The 15,437-nt window shown below is 43.6% G+C and overlaps 1 protein-coding gene across 3 annotated transcripts in view, besides 7 other annotated features; it reads right to left on the bottom strand.

Moving 5' to 3' along the window:
• GLRX3 (glutaredoxin 3) overlaps window positions 1–15,418 on the bottom strand; it is a 43,987-nt gene extending 28,569 nt beyond the window's left edge. For all 3 annotated transcript variants that reach the window (NM_001199868.2, NM_001321980.2, NM_006541.5), the window contains exons 1-2: window positions 15,297–15,418; window positions 6,490–6,598 (exon numbers count right to left, since the gene is read on the bottom strand). In NM_001199868.2, the coding sequence (NP_001186797.1) occupies window positions 6,490–6,598; window positions 15,297–15,388 (201 nt within the window). In that variant the 5' untranslated portion in view covers window positions 15,389–15,418. The remainder of the gene's footprint in view (window positions 1–6,489; window positions 6,599–15,296) is intronic.
• Window positions 9,906–9,965: an enhancer, noted in NCBI's record as "active region_4213". NCBI's record gives its function as "activates an Ori minimal core promoter by ATAC-STARR-seq in GM12878 lymphoblastoid cells {active_cell/tissue: GM12878}" and the evidence as "EXISTENCE:reporter gene assay evidence [ECO:0000049][PMID:35858748]".
• Window positions 9,986–10,055: an enhancer, noted in NCBI's record as "active region_4212". NCBI's record gives its function as "activates an Ori minimal core promoter by ATAC-STARR-seq in GM12878 lymphoblastoid cells {active_cell/tissue: GM12878}" and the evidence as "EXISTENCE:reporter gene assay evidence [ECO:0000049][PMID:35858748]".
• Window positions 10,066–10,115: an enhancer, noted in NCBI's record as "active region_4211". NCBI's record gives its function as "activates an Ori minimal core promoter by ATAC-STARR-seq in GM12878 lymphoblastoid cells {active_cell/tissue: GM12878}" and the evidence as "EXISTENCE:reporter gene assay evidence [ECO:0000049][PMID:35858748]".
• Window positions 13,038–13,672: an enhancer, noted in NCBI's record as "H3K27ac-H3K4me1 hESC enhancer chr10:131936401-131937035 (GRCh37/hg19 assembly coordinates)". NCBI's record gives its function as "activates a minimal SCP1, AML or CMV promoter by ChIP-STARR-seq in primed H9 embryonic stem cells {active_cell/tissue: H9 hESC(primed)}" and the evidence as "EXISTENCE:reporter gene assay evidence [ECO:0000049][PMID:30033119]".
• Window positions 13,673–14,308: an enhancer, noted in NCBI's record as "H3K27ac-H3K4me1 hESC enhancer chr10:131935765-131936400 (GRCh37/hg19 assembly coordinates)". NCBI's record gives its function as "activates a minimal SCP1, AML or CMV promoter by ChIP-STARR-seq in primed H9 embryonic stem cells {active_cell/tissue: H9 hESC(primed)}" and the evidence as "EXISTENCE:reporter gene assay evidence [ECO:0000049][PMID:30033119]".
• Window positions 14,587–14,636: an enhancer, noted in NCBI's record as "active region_4210". NCBI's record gives its function as "activates an Ori minimal core promoter by ATAC-STARR-seq in GM12878 lymphoblastoid cells {active_cell/tissue: GM12878}" and the evidence as "EXISTENCE:reporter gene assay evidence [ECO:0000049][PMID:35858748]".
• Window positions 14,837–15,436: a silencer, noted in NCBI's record as "silent region_2942". NCBI's record gives its function as "represses an Ori minimal core promoter by ATAC-STARR-seq in GM12878 lymphoblastoid cells {active_cell/tissue: GM12878}" and the evidence as "EXISTENCE:reporter gene assay evidence [ECO:0000049][PMID:35858748]".

The raw sequence follows: 15,437 nt of genomic DNA, 5'->3' as shown, positions 1-15,437 counted from the left end.
ATCCTGGTCTCTGATAAAACAGACTTTAAACCAACAATAATAGACTGGATAAAGAAAATGTGGCACATATACATCACGGAATATAATGCAGCCATAAAAAAAGGATGAGTTCATGTCCTTTACAGGGACATGGATGAAGCTGGAAACCAGCATTTTCAGCAAACAATCACAAGGACAGAAAACCAAACACCACATGTTCTCACTCATAAGTGGGAGCTGAACAATGAGAACACATGGACACAGGGAGGGGAACATCACACACCGGGGCCTGTTGGAGGGTGGGGGGCTGAGGGAGGGATAGCGTTAGGAGAAATACCTAATGTAAATGATGAGTTGATGGGTACAGCAAACCAACATGGCACATGTATACCTATGTAACGAACCTGCACATTGTGCACATGTACCCTAGAATTTAAAGTATAATAATAATTTTAAAAAAAAGTTTTGATAACTTCTTTAAATACTTTCACCAAACTTAGCCCAGAAACAGCTAATAAAACCATGTTAATTTTGGGTTTTTTTAATTACCAAGATAGCACAGATAAAAACCTACAGTCTTTTTAAGATTTAACAATTCTACCAGAGCCGGGCACGATGGCTCATGCCTGTAATCCCAGCACTTTGGGAGGCCGAGGCAGGCGGATCACGAGGTCATGAGTTCGAAACCAGCCTGGCCAACACGGTGAAACCCCGTCTCTACTAAAAATACAAAAATTAGCCAGGAGTGGTGGCACACACCTGTAATCCCAGCTACTCAGGAGGCTGAGGCAGGAGAATTCCTTGAACCCAGGAGGCAGAGGTTGCAGTGAGCTGAGTTCACGCCATTGCACTCCAGCCTGGGCGACACAGTGAGACTCTGTCTCAAAAAAAAAAAAAAAACAATTCTACCAGAATTATCTGAGACGCATTTTTAGAGTTCCTTCCTGTAGAATGAAATCCAACATATGCTCTCTTAAGATGCCAAATAAATTGGCCAACATTCTCTGCCACTGAAAAATTTTAATTCCACTAGTTAGCATGCACCTGGTTATACAGCTAGTTGGTACCCTTCGGAAGATTGCCCAACACTATCTGTTTACATACAGTAATTATACACTCAGAAATTAAACATAAACTACATTTACATTTATAATGATTGTACAGATCTTTAGAAATTCAACAGTGCAATCTGTATCTTTAAGATAGTCGCACTTTCAAAATAAGAATAAAGATTCTTGTTTTTCAAGAAGCAAAAATACATTTAAATACGTAACTCCTCCATACCCTTGATCGTATATTTTAAATTACAATGAAAATAAAATGCAAGTACAGCAGCTACTATATAAACAAAATTAATGTCAAATGAAATACAATAGTATAAAATCTCACCAACCAGCTAGCTGGTAAGTCTGACTTTGAGAATGTTTGCACTGAAGTACATGATATGGTAAAATGAGTATACTATGGCCTAGCAGGATGGGAGCAGTAAGCTGGAAGTGGGATCAGGGAGGCTTGCATGGAAAGCAAGAGCCATTCGAACAAAGGAAAGTCATTTTTTTCTTTTTCTTTCTTTCTTTTTTTTTTTTTTTTGAGATGGAGTCTTGCTCTGTTATCCAGGCTGGAATGCAGTGGTGTGGTCTCAACTCACTGCAACCTCCGCCTCCTGGGTTCAAGCAATTCTCCTGCCTCAGCCTCCCGACTAGCTGGGAATAGAGGCATGTCCCACCACAGCTGGCTGATTTTTTTTGTATTTTTAGTAGAGATGGGGTTTCACCGTGTTAGCCAGGATGGTCTCAATCTCCTGACCTCGTGATCCACCCGCCTCGGCCTCCCAAAGTGCTGGGATTACAAGCGTGAGCCACCATGCCCGGCCCTATTTTTTTTTTTTTTTTTTTACTAATGAAAACCTGATGAGGTAAAGGTCCCCATGTCAAGTATCTCACCATCTAGTCAAGGAGGCAATGAAAAAAGGAATTAAATGACAATATAGACAAAAATATAGGGCATTTCCTGATCCAAGCAACCAATGGCACAGAGACCAAAAAAAAAAAAGCTACAGGAAAAAATAGCTACGATTTCATACAAAATAGTTGATTTGGATCTCAAATACAACCAGCAGCAGGCACCCAACAAAGCCTTGTGCTATTCTTCCTCTCTCCCACCCCCCTCTGCCAGATACCATATTTTGGAAGATTATATCAAACAATTAATTAAATGACAAAGGTGTACTCCTATTTTGGGTAAAGATACAAACAAGAATCAGTATGAGAGAAGATACTGACTATGTAATTTGAAAATAAAAGGCACTAAAACATTTTAACTATTTCATTTTATTCTGAATAAACACAAGGTTTCTCTAAGACTTTTCCTGTTTTGTTTTTTTTTTTTGAGACGGAGTCTTGCTCTGTCACGCAGGCCGGAGTGCAGTAGCGCGATCTCGGGTCACTGCAACCTCCACCTCCTGGGTTGAAATGATTCTCCTGCCTCGGCCTCCCGAGTAGCTGGGATTACAGGCATGCGCCATCATGCCTGGCTAAATTCTGTATTTTTAGTGGAGACAGGGTTTCACCATGTTACTCAAGCTGGTCTTGAACTCCTTTTAGTGATAGAAATACCACATCATCTCCTCTGGGCCCTAGGAGGTGTGACAAACTCAGGACGGAGCCCAGAAGAGCCCACTAGACATGGCAGTGACTCAGGTAAATGGAACACCACCCATTATAAACACAGCACCCAAAAGGAGTACAGATGCACTTTTTAATTTTTTTTTAAGAGACAAGGTCTCACTCTGTCACCCAAGCTGGAGTATAGTGGCACAATCATAGCTCACTGCAGCCTCTAACTCCTGGACTTAAGCAATCCTCCCACCACAGCCTCCCAAGTAGCTGGGGCAACAGGTGTACACAGCTAGTTTTTTAAATTTTTATTCTGTAGAGATGAAGTCTCCCTATGTTGCCCAGGCTGGTCTCGAACTCCTGTCCTTGAACAATCCTCCCACTCACACCTCCCAAAGTGCTGGGATTACAGGTGTGAGCCACTGTGCCCCACCCCAAATACACTTTACGACCATATCATCAATACAGAGAATGAGGGATTCAGATGCAATAAATATGAAAACCTTGTCTTTCAGCATTCAATTCCAAAGAGCACAAACTAACTACTCTGACCAAAAATGGGTGACTAACTCTTCTAACTCTATTTTTACCAGCTCCTACAAAATAAGAAATTGTTGATAGTCACAAAAGTTTACAATCTGTTTAAAAATATCTAGTGTATGATCACTTATTTAATGATTTTATAAATCCCAGTCACAAAAATGAACTGATCCCTTTACTTCACAAGCCAAAAATGCCAAACCATTTCATCATTAAAAAAAAAAAAAAAAAAAAAAAAAAAGACTGAAGGGCAAAGTGGCTCACATCTATAATCTGAGCACTTTGGGAGGCCAAGGTAGGCAGACTGCTTGAGCCCATGAGTTCAAGACCAGCCTGAGCAACATGGTGAAACCGTATCGCTACAAAAAATACAAAAATTAGCTGGGCAGGGGTGTACACCTATAGTCCCAGCTATTCGGGAGGCTAAGGTGGAGAAATTGCTTGAGCCTGGGAGGTAGAGGCTGCAGTGAGCCAAGATCACTGCACTACAGCCTGGGCAATAAGAGTGAGACCTTGTCTCCAAAAAAAAGACTAAGAAATCAAATAGACACAAGATGAAGCAGAAGAACATTAGTTCATACTCTAGAACTTTCCAAAAACTCTCATTAACAAAAAGAAAGCTGTTTTAAAATGAACTACATTCCTCCTTTTTTTTGAGACATGGTATCACTCTACGTCCAGTGGTGTGACCGCCTTGAGACCTCCTGGGCTCAAGGAATCCTCTGCTTTATCCTCCCAAGTAACTGGGACTACAGGTGCACACCAACATGCACAGCTAACTTTTTTAGTTTTTCTTTTGTAGAGATGGTTTTGCTATGTGCATCAGGCTGGTTTTGAATTCCTGGCCTCAAGCAATCCTCCCACCTCAGCCTCAAGAGGTGTTGGGATTACAGGTGTGAGCCGAGGCGCCCAGCCTGCACGCCTCTCTTACTGGGAAAGAACGATGATCTCTCATTCTACTTCTCTTTTGCTTACTATTGTCCGGCAAGTGCCTTTTAATTAGCTGCCTTACAAATGCCATGGAAAGTACCTTTGCCCTTAATGATGGCTAATCAAAGAAAAACTATGTTATAGAGTGAATTTCTGGAAAGTGATGACTCCTGGAAGAATGACCAATCTTACGCTGTCATCATCCTCATGAGTGGCAGGTGCAGTCAGGCTCAGGTATCCCCCACAACCCAAAATCGCTGAGGGCTCCTCCAACCTTTGGCTCACAGAGATACTTAAGCACTTGAACAACTTAAAATCTCACTGCCAAGTCTGGTACCAATGTGAGAAGTAATTCTATAGTCACTTTAAATAAATCATTCAGATAGCAGCTAAGAACAATGTGTTACCTAAACCAGTAACATGATACACATAAAAGCAGACTTAGAACAATTACCATCATCTTGATTAATCTTATGATTGAAATGTTTAATCATTCATTTCACTTGTAATCATTATCTTTTATCACTGACCAAACATGCAGTTTTAATGCCCCCTTCTATTATTTATATTGGACATTTTAGGGTTACACTCTACAGTTACATTATACATTTCATTGGAATTTTAAATAAGTCCTTAAATTTTAAAAAGCTAATCACTATATTCACATCTGCCCTATTTGCATAAAGAAACACTAGAAGGATTCATACAAAATTAATACAAGCAGTTACTTATGTGGTGGGACACAAGGGTGACAACAGAGGAACGGGGTGGGCCTTCTCAACGGACATCTTTCTACACTGTTTGGAATTTTGAGCCAACTGAGTATAATGCCTATTCAAAGCAAACTTATTTATACAGAAGCCTCCTGAAAATTTTATCACCTACTATACGAATGAATTACCCTGTCAAAATTCTGTGTTTTCAGTTTACATAGAAAGAGGCATACAGACCAATACAGTTGATGTTATTTTTAATCCCATATATGAGTATATTGGGTAACATGTACTCTGAACTCACAGATTCTTGTTTTAAAAAATAAGACTTTGGTTTTTCATTTGTTTTTTAAATCTTAAGGATTCAGGCTTGGGAATACAAGGTGCACCTCCCCTCCTGATAATTCATTTCTAAGACTCTCAACACATATTTTGGCCCTGCTGCCTAAACCAGTACTAAGTCCTGAATAATATCTTTAACGTGCTAAACCAATTGAGTTAATCCACAGTCAAAACTACAGCTTTCCTAGCACTCATCCACTCAAGAGAGACAGCAGGAATGTAGGAGTACACATAACCAGAGTGAAAAACAAAAGAGGCAAGGAAGAGACTGACTGGCTTCCATCTTCCTCTACATTCTGAACAGGTTAGAAAGACTTTCACCTTCTCCCGGAGGTCTGCCTTCATCTAAACCAAGATAGCAACTTCCTGTTCCCTGGTCCCTAGCAGCATTTACATACCCCTTCCTGAATTATTTTCTACAGCACACCTAGCTTTTCAATGACATAATTTGTGTTACTATTTTAAATGCCTTAAAACCACAGTTACCCACAGGGAACTAATTTGTCTGCCTGTGCTCTCCAAAACTCCAGCCCACAGCCACCTTGACATTTGGTAGTCATGCCTCACACCCGAGGATGATCAAGGAAAAGTGTACATTTGGCCAGGCGTGGTGGCTCACGCCTAATCACAGTACTTTGGGAGGCCAAGGTGAGCAGATCACGAGGTCAAGAGACCAAGACTATCCTGGCTAAGATGGTGAAACCCCATCTCTACTAAAAATACAAAAAATTAGCTGGGTGTGGTGGCATGTGCCTGTAGTCCCAGCTACTCGGGAGGCTTAGGCAGGAAAATCGCTTAAACCGGGGAGGCAGAGGTTGCAGTGAGCTGGAGCTGCACTCCAGCCTGGGCGACAGAACAAGACTCTGTCTCAAAAAAAAAAAAAATGCAAAATTATTTTAAGATTTTTAAGAATGATGTGCAAAAATAACAGATCCCACACCAATTATACATATTTGGAATTCCATACCACTCCATCTTTATATTAGTTAATAAAATCTAATTTTTTATTTTATTTATTTATTTATTTAGAGACAGCGTCTCGCTCTGTCACCCAGGCTGGAGTGCAGTGGCACAATCTCGGCTCACTGCAATCTCTGCCTCCCGGGTTCAAAAGATTCTCCTGCCTCAGCCTCCCACATAGCTGGGATTATAGGCACCCGCCACCACGCCCAGCTAATTTTTGTATTTTAGTAGAGACAGGGTTTCACTATGTTGGCTGGGCTGGTCTCAAACTACTGAACTCAGGTGATCTGCCCGCCTCAGCCTCCCAAAGTGCTGGGATTACAGGTGTGAGCTACCGCACCCAGCCCTAATCTAACCCATAAATCAGAATTAAATTCACAAAAGACATGACATTGAAATATAAATACCTTCACAAATGAAACTTGAGGGAGTTCTTTAGCTAACTCTGCCATAACTTCGTTCATCTGTGCACACTGTGGAGCCCATGGTGCCCAGAAATGGACCACAAGGAGGGACCTGTAAATCAATTAAATGCATTTATTTAAAATTATACCAATTTTGGAAATACACAAATACTGATATAAATTACCAAAAAGAAAAAAAAGAAAGCTTTAAAAGAACCGTCTGAAGTTTTTCATATTGCTAGAATTTTGTTGTATACAACACTGGAACATAAAAGCACTCTGCAAGGTCTTGAGACTCTTTCAGATAAATTTTCAATTCAATGATATTTCAAGTGAAGCCCATTTGAAGTAGATCTGAATATTCATCCACCTCAATTAAAAGTCATGTAAATCACTGTTGGTGGGAGTGTAAATTAGTTCAACCATTGTGGAAGACAGTGTGGCAATTCCTCAAGGATCTAGAACCAGAAATACCATTTGACCCAGCAATCCCATTACTGGGTATATACCCAAAAGATTATAAATCATTCTACTATAAAGACACATGCACACATTATGTTATTGCAGCACTATTTACAATATCAAAGACTTGGAACCAACCCAAATGCCTGTCAATGACAGACTGGATAAAGGAAATGTGGCACATATATACCATGGAATACTATGCAGTCATAAAAAGGAATGAGTTCATGTCCTTTGCAGGGACATGGATGAAGCTGGAAGCCACCATTCTCAGTAAACTAACACAGGAACAGAAAAACAAACATTGCATGTTCTCATTCATAAGTGGGAGGTGAACAATGAAACCACACGGACACAGGGAGGGGAACATCACATACCAGGGCCTGTCAGGGGGTGGGGGGCAAGGGGAGAGAAAGCATTAGGACAAATACCTAATGCATGCAGGGCTTAAAACCTAGATGATGGGTTGATAGGTGCAGCAAACCACCATGGCACATGCATACCTATGTAAGAAACCTGCACATTCTGCATATGTATCCCAGAACTTAAAGTAAACGAAAAAAAAAAAAAAAAAGCCAGGCAAATCAACCATATTTTCAGACCCCTGGGCAAAGTGGAAACTGAATTTCTGTATTAATGGCACAATGTTTGTGAAAAATGGTTGTAGACACATTACTAATAATATCATTATTTACTTTTTAAATGTGGTATAGTGATGGAGAGACATAACCGTGACCATAGAAACAGCAGTAAGTGTTGAAAATGAAGGCATGCCAGTGCAAAACGAGGAAAAGAATAGAACTGCTTTTCACAAAGACTTTTTTTTATACTTTTTAATATTATGCTACAAAAGATTTTTCTAGACCCAGAGCAGTGGCTCACACCTGTAATCCCAGCACTTTGGGAGGCCGAGGCAGGCAGATCACTTGAGGTCGGCAGTTCGAGACCAGCCTGGCTAATGTGGTGAAACCCCAACTCTACTAAAAGCACAAAAAATTAGCCGGGTGTGTTGGTGCATGCCTGTAATCCCAGCTACTCAGGAGGCTGAGGCAGAAGAATTGTTTGAACCCAGAAGGCAGAGGTTACAGTGAGCTGAGATCACACCACTGCACTGCAGCCTGGATGGCAGAGCAAGACTCTGCCTCAAAAAAAAAAAAAAGATTTTTCTAGGCCAGGCAAGGTGGCTCATGCCTGTACTCAGCATTCTGGCAGACTAAGGTGGAAGGATTACTTGAGCCCAGGGGGTCGAGGCTGTAGTGAGCCATGATCATACCACTACACTCCAGTGTGGGCAACAGAGCAAGACCCATTTAAAAAAAAAAAATTCTAAACATTTATAGTATGAACACACAGAATATATTAATAACTCAGTATCTATTTTAGTTAGTTTTCACACAAAATTATCTTGGCAAAGATATCTATGGTCATATCCAACTAAAAAATCCTTCAGTTTTATGGAATTCTGTTCAAATATAATACCACCTCCCAAAAAAATCTGAAAAATCACGAACAGAAATATGTTCCATGGCAAAAAGAACCAAGGACAACTAACCTATGGGTAAGGAAAGGAATAACAAACTGTAAAAACTGATCAAATAATACCAGCGAGAAGAGAATAAGCCTACAATAAAGTGTCAGGAAAGCAGAAGCAAAGAGCAGCATGAGGATTTCGAAGGTAGAAGGGGCAGGATTTGGTGACAGATAAGGCAGTCTACAGCTGGCTCCAAGTTCTGGCTTAGAGACTGATGGCTAGTGGTGGCACTATGCCTCAAATCATAGTGCAGAAGCTGCCAACCTGAGGAAAGGAAGTTTAATGGGTTGTTAGTATGATGTCTAGAGCTCAGGGAAGAAGTCTGCACCTGATATACAGATTTGGGAATCAAGAAAGGAACAGTGCCAGCACCACACCGCAAAGGGTTACAGAGGGACACAGAGGAGACCCGAGGTCAGCGCCTCAGGGGGCTTATCAACATTAAGTTAGGACAGATGGAGGAGAAGGAACTTATGTAGTAAAGCAGAGAAGGGGTCCTAGGCGGTACTGGAAGATTAAGGGGTCCTAGGCGGTACTGGAAGATTGAAGGGTCACATAGAAGTCAAGAGAAGAGTGTCAAGAGGGAGTGACAATCATCCAATGCAACAGGAAAGGGCAACTAACAGAGAGAGTACCTTCAATGGAATAGCAGAAGCACAGGTCAGACTGCAGTCCACTGAGGACTGAAGTGAAGATGAGGAAGCAGAGATGTACTCTAAGAGATCTGTACAGGCAGAGAAAAAGACAAAATCAAGGGATGGGCCTTTTTAATACAAGAAAATCCTTATATGTTTATTTTACTAGGGGATAGTGCAAATGGAGAGGGAAGGGCCGTAGACACAAGACAGCTGAGGATGCAAGGACTCAGAAGAGGCAGGAGAGGGGAAATCCAGAGCAGAGAAGAGCTTACCTTGAAGAAGAAGAAGGCAGTCTCCTCTGAGTCAGGAGCCAAGGAATTAAGAATGGGTAAGGCTACAAATAAATGGTAAGTGTTGGGAGAGGTGAGAGTGGAAGGAGGGCTTGGGGAGATGCTACCTGAAATCCTGTTTTCTCTCAGGTGGGAAGCAAGGTCATTTATCAAAGCATAGGAAAACAGAGGGCAAGACCACTGGTAGGACTGATGAAGGGAGAGTGTCCACAGGCACACAAGGAAAGCAGGAAGCTCCAAATGAAGACCCACCTAAGGCAGGGAAGGACACATTGTAGGAGCCCCTAGTCACCGGATGTTAATTTGCATCCAGCACAACTCAGCAGCTTCAATGGTTGAGTAGGTGGGGCCTCAGGTCCACGGCAGAGACTGTGCTGTTTCAATCAAGCACTGTTTCATCTTCCTCCTGTGCATTCAGCTAGATTACATTTTTCAGTCTTCCTTGCAGTTGTCTGGGGCCCTGGAACTGAATTCTGGCCCTAAAACTAGAACACAGGCCTGACCCCTCAAAACCCTCCCTCAGGAGCCTCTGCCCACCATAGCCTCCAGCAATGAAGAGGATCCAGGGAAGCTTTTTTGTCCATTGCCTAAGGATGGCAAGAACAAAACAGAGGTTCACAGAGGCCTCATGCAAGAATGCTCACAGCAGCCCTATACATAATAAATCAAAACTGGAAATTAGCCAAATGTCCGCCAACAGGAGAAAGTGATAGACATTCATACAACAGAATGTAACTTACCAGTAAAAAGGAACCAACCACAGACATGAGCAATGACACAAATGAAGCTTGAAAATATGTGAGCAAAAGATAACACAGACAAAGAACTGTATGATTCTACTCACACAAAGTCCAAGAGCAGGGAAAACTCATCTACAGTGACAGTAAGAAATCAGTAGCTGGGCTAAAGGGGATGGAAAACTTCCTGGGTTCTATATTCTTCCTGTGAATGGTGGTTATCGGTGTGTATACAATTGTGAAAATTCACCACATCTGACGATTAAGATCTGTGCATTGTTACTGTATGTAATACTTCAATTTCTTTTTAAAGCTGGGATACCATTTTCCACCAAATTGACCAAAAAAAAAATTTTTTTTTTCTTTTTTTGAGACAGGGTCTTACTCTAATGCCCAGTCTGGAGTGCAAGGCAAGTGCAGCCTCGACTTCCTGGGCTCAGGTGATCCTCCCACCTCAGCCTCCCAGACTACAGGCATATTTTGTTCTTTGTAAAGTTGGGCTTTGGCCAATGACCAGGCTGGTCTCAAACTCCTGGGCTCAAGCAATCAATCTGCCTGCATTCGCCTCTCAAAGTGCTGGGATTACAGTCATGAGCCACCGTGCCCAGCCAACAAAAGGACTGTTTAAATCATAATATTCAATGATAAAAAGGATGACGAGAAGTACTTTCATGTCCTGCTGGTAAAAATTAAATTGGGACCTTTCAGAAATTTCTTACACATAAGTATCAATCCTAAGGAAGTAATTAAGAGACAAAGATTTTCTGTACATGGATATTTTCCCACTACTTTACGTAGCAAATCAGAAAAATTTCTGATGCTCAATAATAGTTTTTAAATGGTCATAAGAAAACATAAAGCCATTACAAATCAAATTTTCAAAGAACTTTCAACGCCACAGGAAAATACTAATATAACTACATTTTTCAAAAATTAAAGTAGGTTACCAAACTTTATAATAGTATGAGCCCAAATAAGTAAAAAAGAAAAGAAGAAAGTATGCCATAGAAACTGAATTCATTTCAGTTTCATTATTACTAACATGGTTTTGAAGAGTAATTTAACTTCCACATCTGTAAAACAGCAATAACCAACACTCTGGGATGTTGAGAAGATGAAACAAAAATATAAAACATTTGAAAACATTAAAACATGATATTGTTAGTTGAAATTATCCACAATATTCTCCTATTTAATGCTTACCTTCCATTTCTCAATTAAGCACATAATGTCCAATATTATAAGGACATACTATATCTGAAACAAATATAAACGTTATCCCCTTTTGGATTACATGTTACAGTATTCTTTCCATCTTAATGGATAGCCCCATATGCCTGGAGCATTGTTGGAGAAAAACCATCAGACAAAAACCACATTCAAATCCTGACTAATGTAACTTTAGACAATGTAATAAACTTCAGCTCTTCATCAGCAAATAGTTGTTTTTCAATTATTATAGTATTCTGCTACTACATTCATCTGCAGATACCAGCTACTGCTTATTAAACATATCATATACTAAACCTGCTTACTCTGCAAATGGATATTAATAACCCCATTGTACAAACCAGCTGAGATTTCAGCAACTTATGTAAATATCTGATTCAACTACTTAAAAGAAAAAAATTTCAATTCATGTCAAATTTTAAAATTGGAGAAGCGATGATTTGGAAAGTAGATTTAAAATTATTACATCAACACAAGTACTAAAATTCGGGCACTTTTTGTTTTTTGAGACAGGGTCTCACTCTGTCACCCAGGCTGGAGTACAGTGGCAGGATCATAGCTCACCGCAGCTTGGAACTCCTGGGCTCAAACAATCCTCCCACCTCAGCCTCCTGAGTAGCTGGGGACTACAGGCATGCATCACCATGCCTGGCTACTTTTTTTATTTTTTGTAGAGATGGGTTCTATGTTGTTCAAGCTACTCTCAAACTCCTGGCCTCAAGCCATCCTCCCAAAGTGCTGGGTTTGCTGGTGTAAGCCACCATGATATTCTTTTTTTGGTTTTTTTTTTTTTGAGATGGAGTCTTCGTCTGTCGTCCAGGCTGGAGTGCAGTGCCACGATCTTGGCTCACTGCAAGCTCCGCCTCCCAGGTTCATGCCATTCGCCTGCCTCAGCTTCCCGAGTAACTGGGACTACAGGCACCTGCCACCATGCCTGGCTAATTTTTTGTATTTTCTTTAGTAAAGACGGGGTTTCACCGTGTTAGCCAGGATGGTCTCGATCTCCTGACCTCGTGATCCACCCACCTCGGCCTCCCAAAGTGCTGGGATTACAGGCGTGAGCCACCGCGCCCGGCCTAATATTCTTAAATGTCTCCATCTTCACCAAAAAAGCTGCAGAAATGTGCTCCTTCCCCAGATGCCACACATCATTTATCACGTGTCCGTTTGAACTAGTCACTAAGGAAAGTGCACATTGTTTCCTGGGCCATTTCAAGTACAGGCCAGCGGCAAGGATACAACATCCAAATGGTACTTACATTTAAACTTTTATCCATTTTGGCCGGGCGCAGTGGCTCATGCCTGTAATCCCAGCACGCTGGGAAGCGGGCCCATCACCTAAGGTCAGGAGTTCAAGACCAGCCTGGCCAACATGGTGAAACCCATCTCTACTAAAAATGCAAAAATTAGCCAGGCGTGGTGGCGGGCACCTGTAATCCCAGCTACTCAGAAGGCTGAGGCAGGAGAATCATTTGAACCCGTGAGGCAGAGGTTGCAGTGAGCCAAGATTGTGTCACTGCACTCTACTCCAGCCTGGGCAACAGAGAGAGACTCTGTCTCCCCCCCAAAAAAAAAAAAAAAAAAAAACACTTTTATTCATTTTGATAGTTTAAGGACTTTTTAAAACATGAAGCATTTAAAACAAACATGTAAAACAGACAAAACAGCCTTTCAGGTGATGGTAAATTCAAAACGTTTACTTAGGGCAGGTCCACACAAGACCTGCTCATTTCAAGAGGCCACTTCTGGTGACTCCTGTGATTGTGCTGATCTGTACTGGATGAGTCAGAGCCCAGCTTCCATCAGTGAGTAAATGTCACATGTCCCTCCCCAACCCCTGCTTTTTTCCGTAACAATTTCCCAGGTAAACCTGAAATGCCTAAAGAGCTGTTTAAATAACACTTTAATTTCATCACCCCCATAAAGCATTTCTAACCATTAGTCAGTAACTCGCACCCCTCCCCATTTCCAAAGGCAACACCCCATCTCACCTGCACTCTCCATTGCAAAATCAGAGTACTACTTGCCTCTAATTCAAATTCAGTCGGCAAAATTTCACTCAATTTAGATCAACAGGGCAGGTCACGGGGGCTCAAGCCTGTAATCCCGATACTTTACAAGGCCGAGGCAGGCGAATCACTTGAGCTCAGGAGTTCCAGAGACCAGCCTGGGCAACATGAGGAAACCCTGCCTCTACGAAAAATACACAAATTAGCCCAGCGTGGTGGACCGCACGTGTAGTCCCAGATACTCAGGAGGCTGAGGTGGGAGGATCGCTTGAACCCAGGAGGTAGAGGCTGCAGTGAGCCGAGATCACGCCACTGCACTCAGCCTGGGCAACAGAGCAACAGCCTGTCTCGAAAACAAACAAAACAAAATTTAGATCAATAAGCATTTCTGGCCGGACGTGGTAGCTCACACCTGTAATCCCAACCCTTTGGGAGGCTGAGGAGGGCAGATCGCTCGAGTCCAGAAGGTCGAGACGAGGCTGGGCAACATGGCGAGACCTCGTCTCTATAAAAAAAAATAAAAATTAGACGGGCGTGGTGGTGAGCACCTGTGGTCCCAGCTACTCGGGAGGATGAGGTGGGTCGATCACTTGAGCCTGGGAGGCGGAGGCTGCAGGGAGCCGTGATCGCTCCACTACACTGCAGCCTGGGTGACAGAGCCAGACCCTGTCTCAAAAACAAAACAAAACAAAGCTTTTTGCCTGTGAATTCCATGAACCATTCTACTTCCTACTGAAATACTAAGTGCCAACATCTACTGAGTGCTTCCTGCATACTAGGCATTGTATTATTTGTATTTTACATACGTCATCTCATTTAACCCTCACAACAACCCTGAGGTACTAACAGGTGCTAATCTATGTCACCGTCGGGAAACTGAGGCTTGGGCATGAAACGTGCCCAGGGGTTACATGGCTACTGAGTGGCTGCGGTGGGACTGGATCCCAGGCAATCCGACATAAGAGTTCCCATAACAACCGCTAATAATACAACTAAGAGAACAACTCAGTCCTTGGAGTAGTCTACAATGTGAGGTGGTATTATCACGGAGAGTCCACGTGCAGACCTTTCCCTGCAGGCACGCACGCTAGTAAGCATTTACTCGTAAGCATGCTTGCAGTTCAGAGCTTCTAGTCCACCCAGAAAACGCTTTCTATGCATTCCTCTGGATCTCCTTTTGTAGTCTTCCCAGGGATTGAAGACCTGGACACCGGCGCCAAATCTGAACAGACTCTCACTACACCAGTTCATGGAACAGGAAATCTCTGTCTCCGGCAACAGGTTAAGTCTGAAGACTGAGGCTACCTGCTGTCCAACAAACTTTAAAGGCTGACTTCAAAAGGCAGCCAGGCCTAGCTAATGCAACGGGGCCTTCCCTCGCCGCTCTTCCTGCGACAGGGGCGTTCCTGAAGGGAGGCTGAAGAGCAATGGGCCGACGCCGAGCCTGCCGCTCCCTCCCGGCGGGCACAGGAAAGGTGGAGCCCGCAGCCGTGGGTCCCGCTCCGTGGCGCGGAGGGCCGGGGTCTCGGCGCCGCCCCGTCCCCCGCCCCGCCACTGCGGCACGGCTGAGTCACCACCGCCTCCGTCCCGCGGCGGGGCCGCCCAGGCCAGAGGCCGGGAAGGTCGCGTCCCCCGGGCTTGGACAGCCGTCGGGGTCGGAGCCAGGGCTGGGGCCGGGGCTTCCAGGCGAGCCTCGCGCCCTGCTCGCTGTTCCGGGGCGGGGAACCTGCGGCTCGGGCCACTCACGCGGAGGCTCGGGGGAGTCTACGGGTGGCGCCGGGCCCGGTCCCCCGAGGCCGAAGGGAGCCGGGCACCAAGAAGCCAGGCTGGGCCACCCGCCGCCCCACACCGGCCCGGTCTCGCGGCCGCTCCCGCTCCGGCTCCTCACTCCTACCGCTCGCCGCCCCGCTTACTTGGCTTTGAGGCGCAGCAGCTCCTCAAACTGCCCGGCTGAGCCGACCTCCTCCACGGCCGCTACAGCTGCCTCAGCCGCCCCCGCCGCCATGCTGCCGCCGCCAGACAGAAGCAATCCAGTGCCGGCGGCCGGATGTGGG

The sequence above is a fragment of the Homo sapiens genome, chromosome 10 (assembly GCF_000001405.40).
Source record: "Homo sapiens chromosome 10, GRCh38.p14 Primary Assembly".
Lineage (NCBI taxonomy): Eukaryota > Metazoa > Chordata > Mammalia > Primates > Hominidae > Homo > Homo sapiens.
This window is presented reverse-complemented; position numbering and strand designations above follow the sequence as displayed.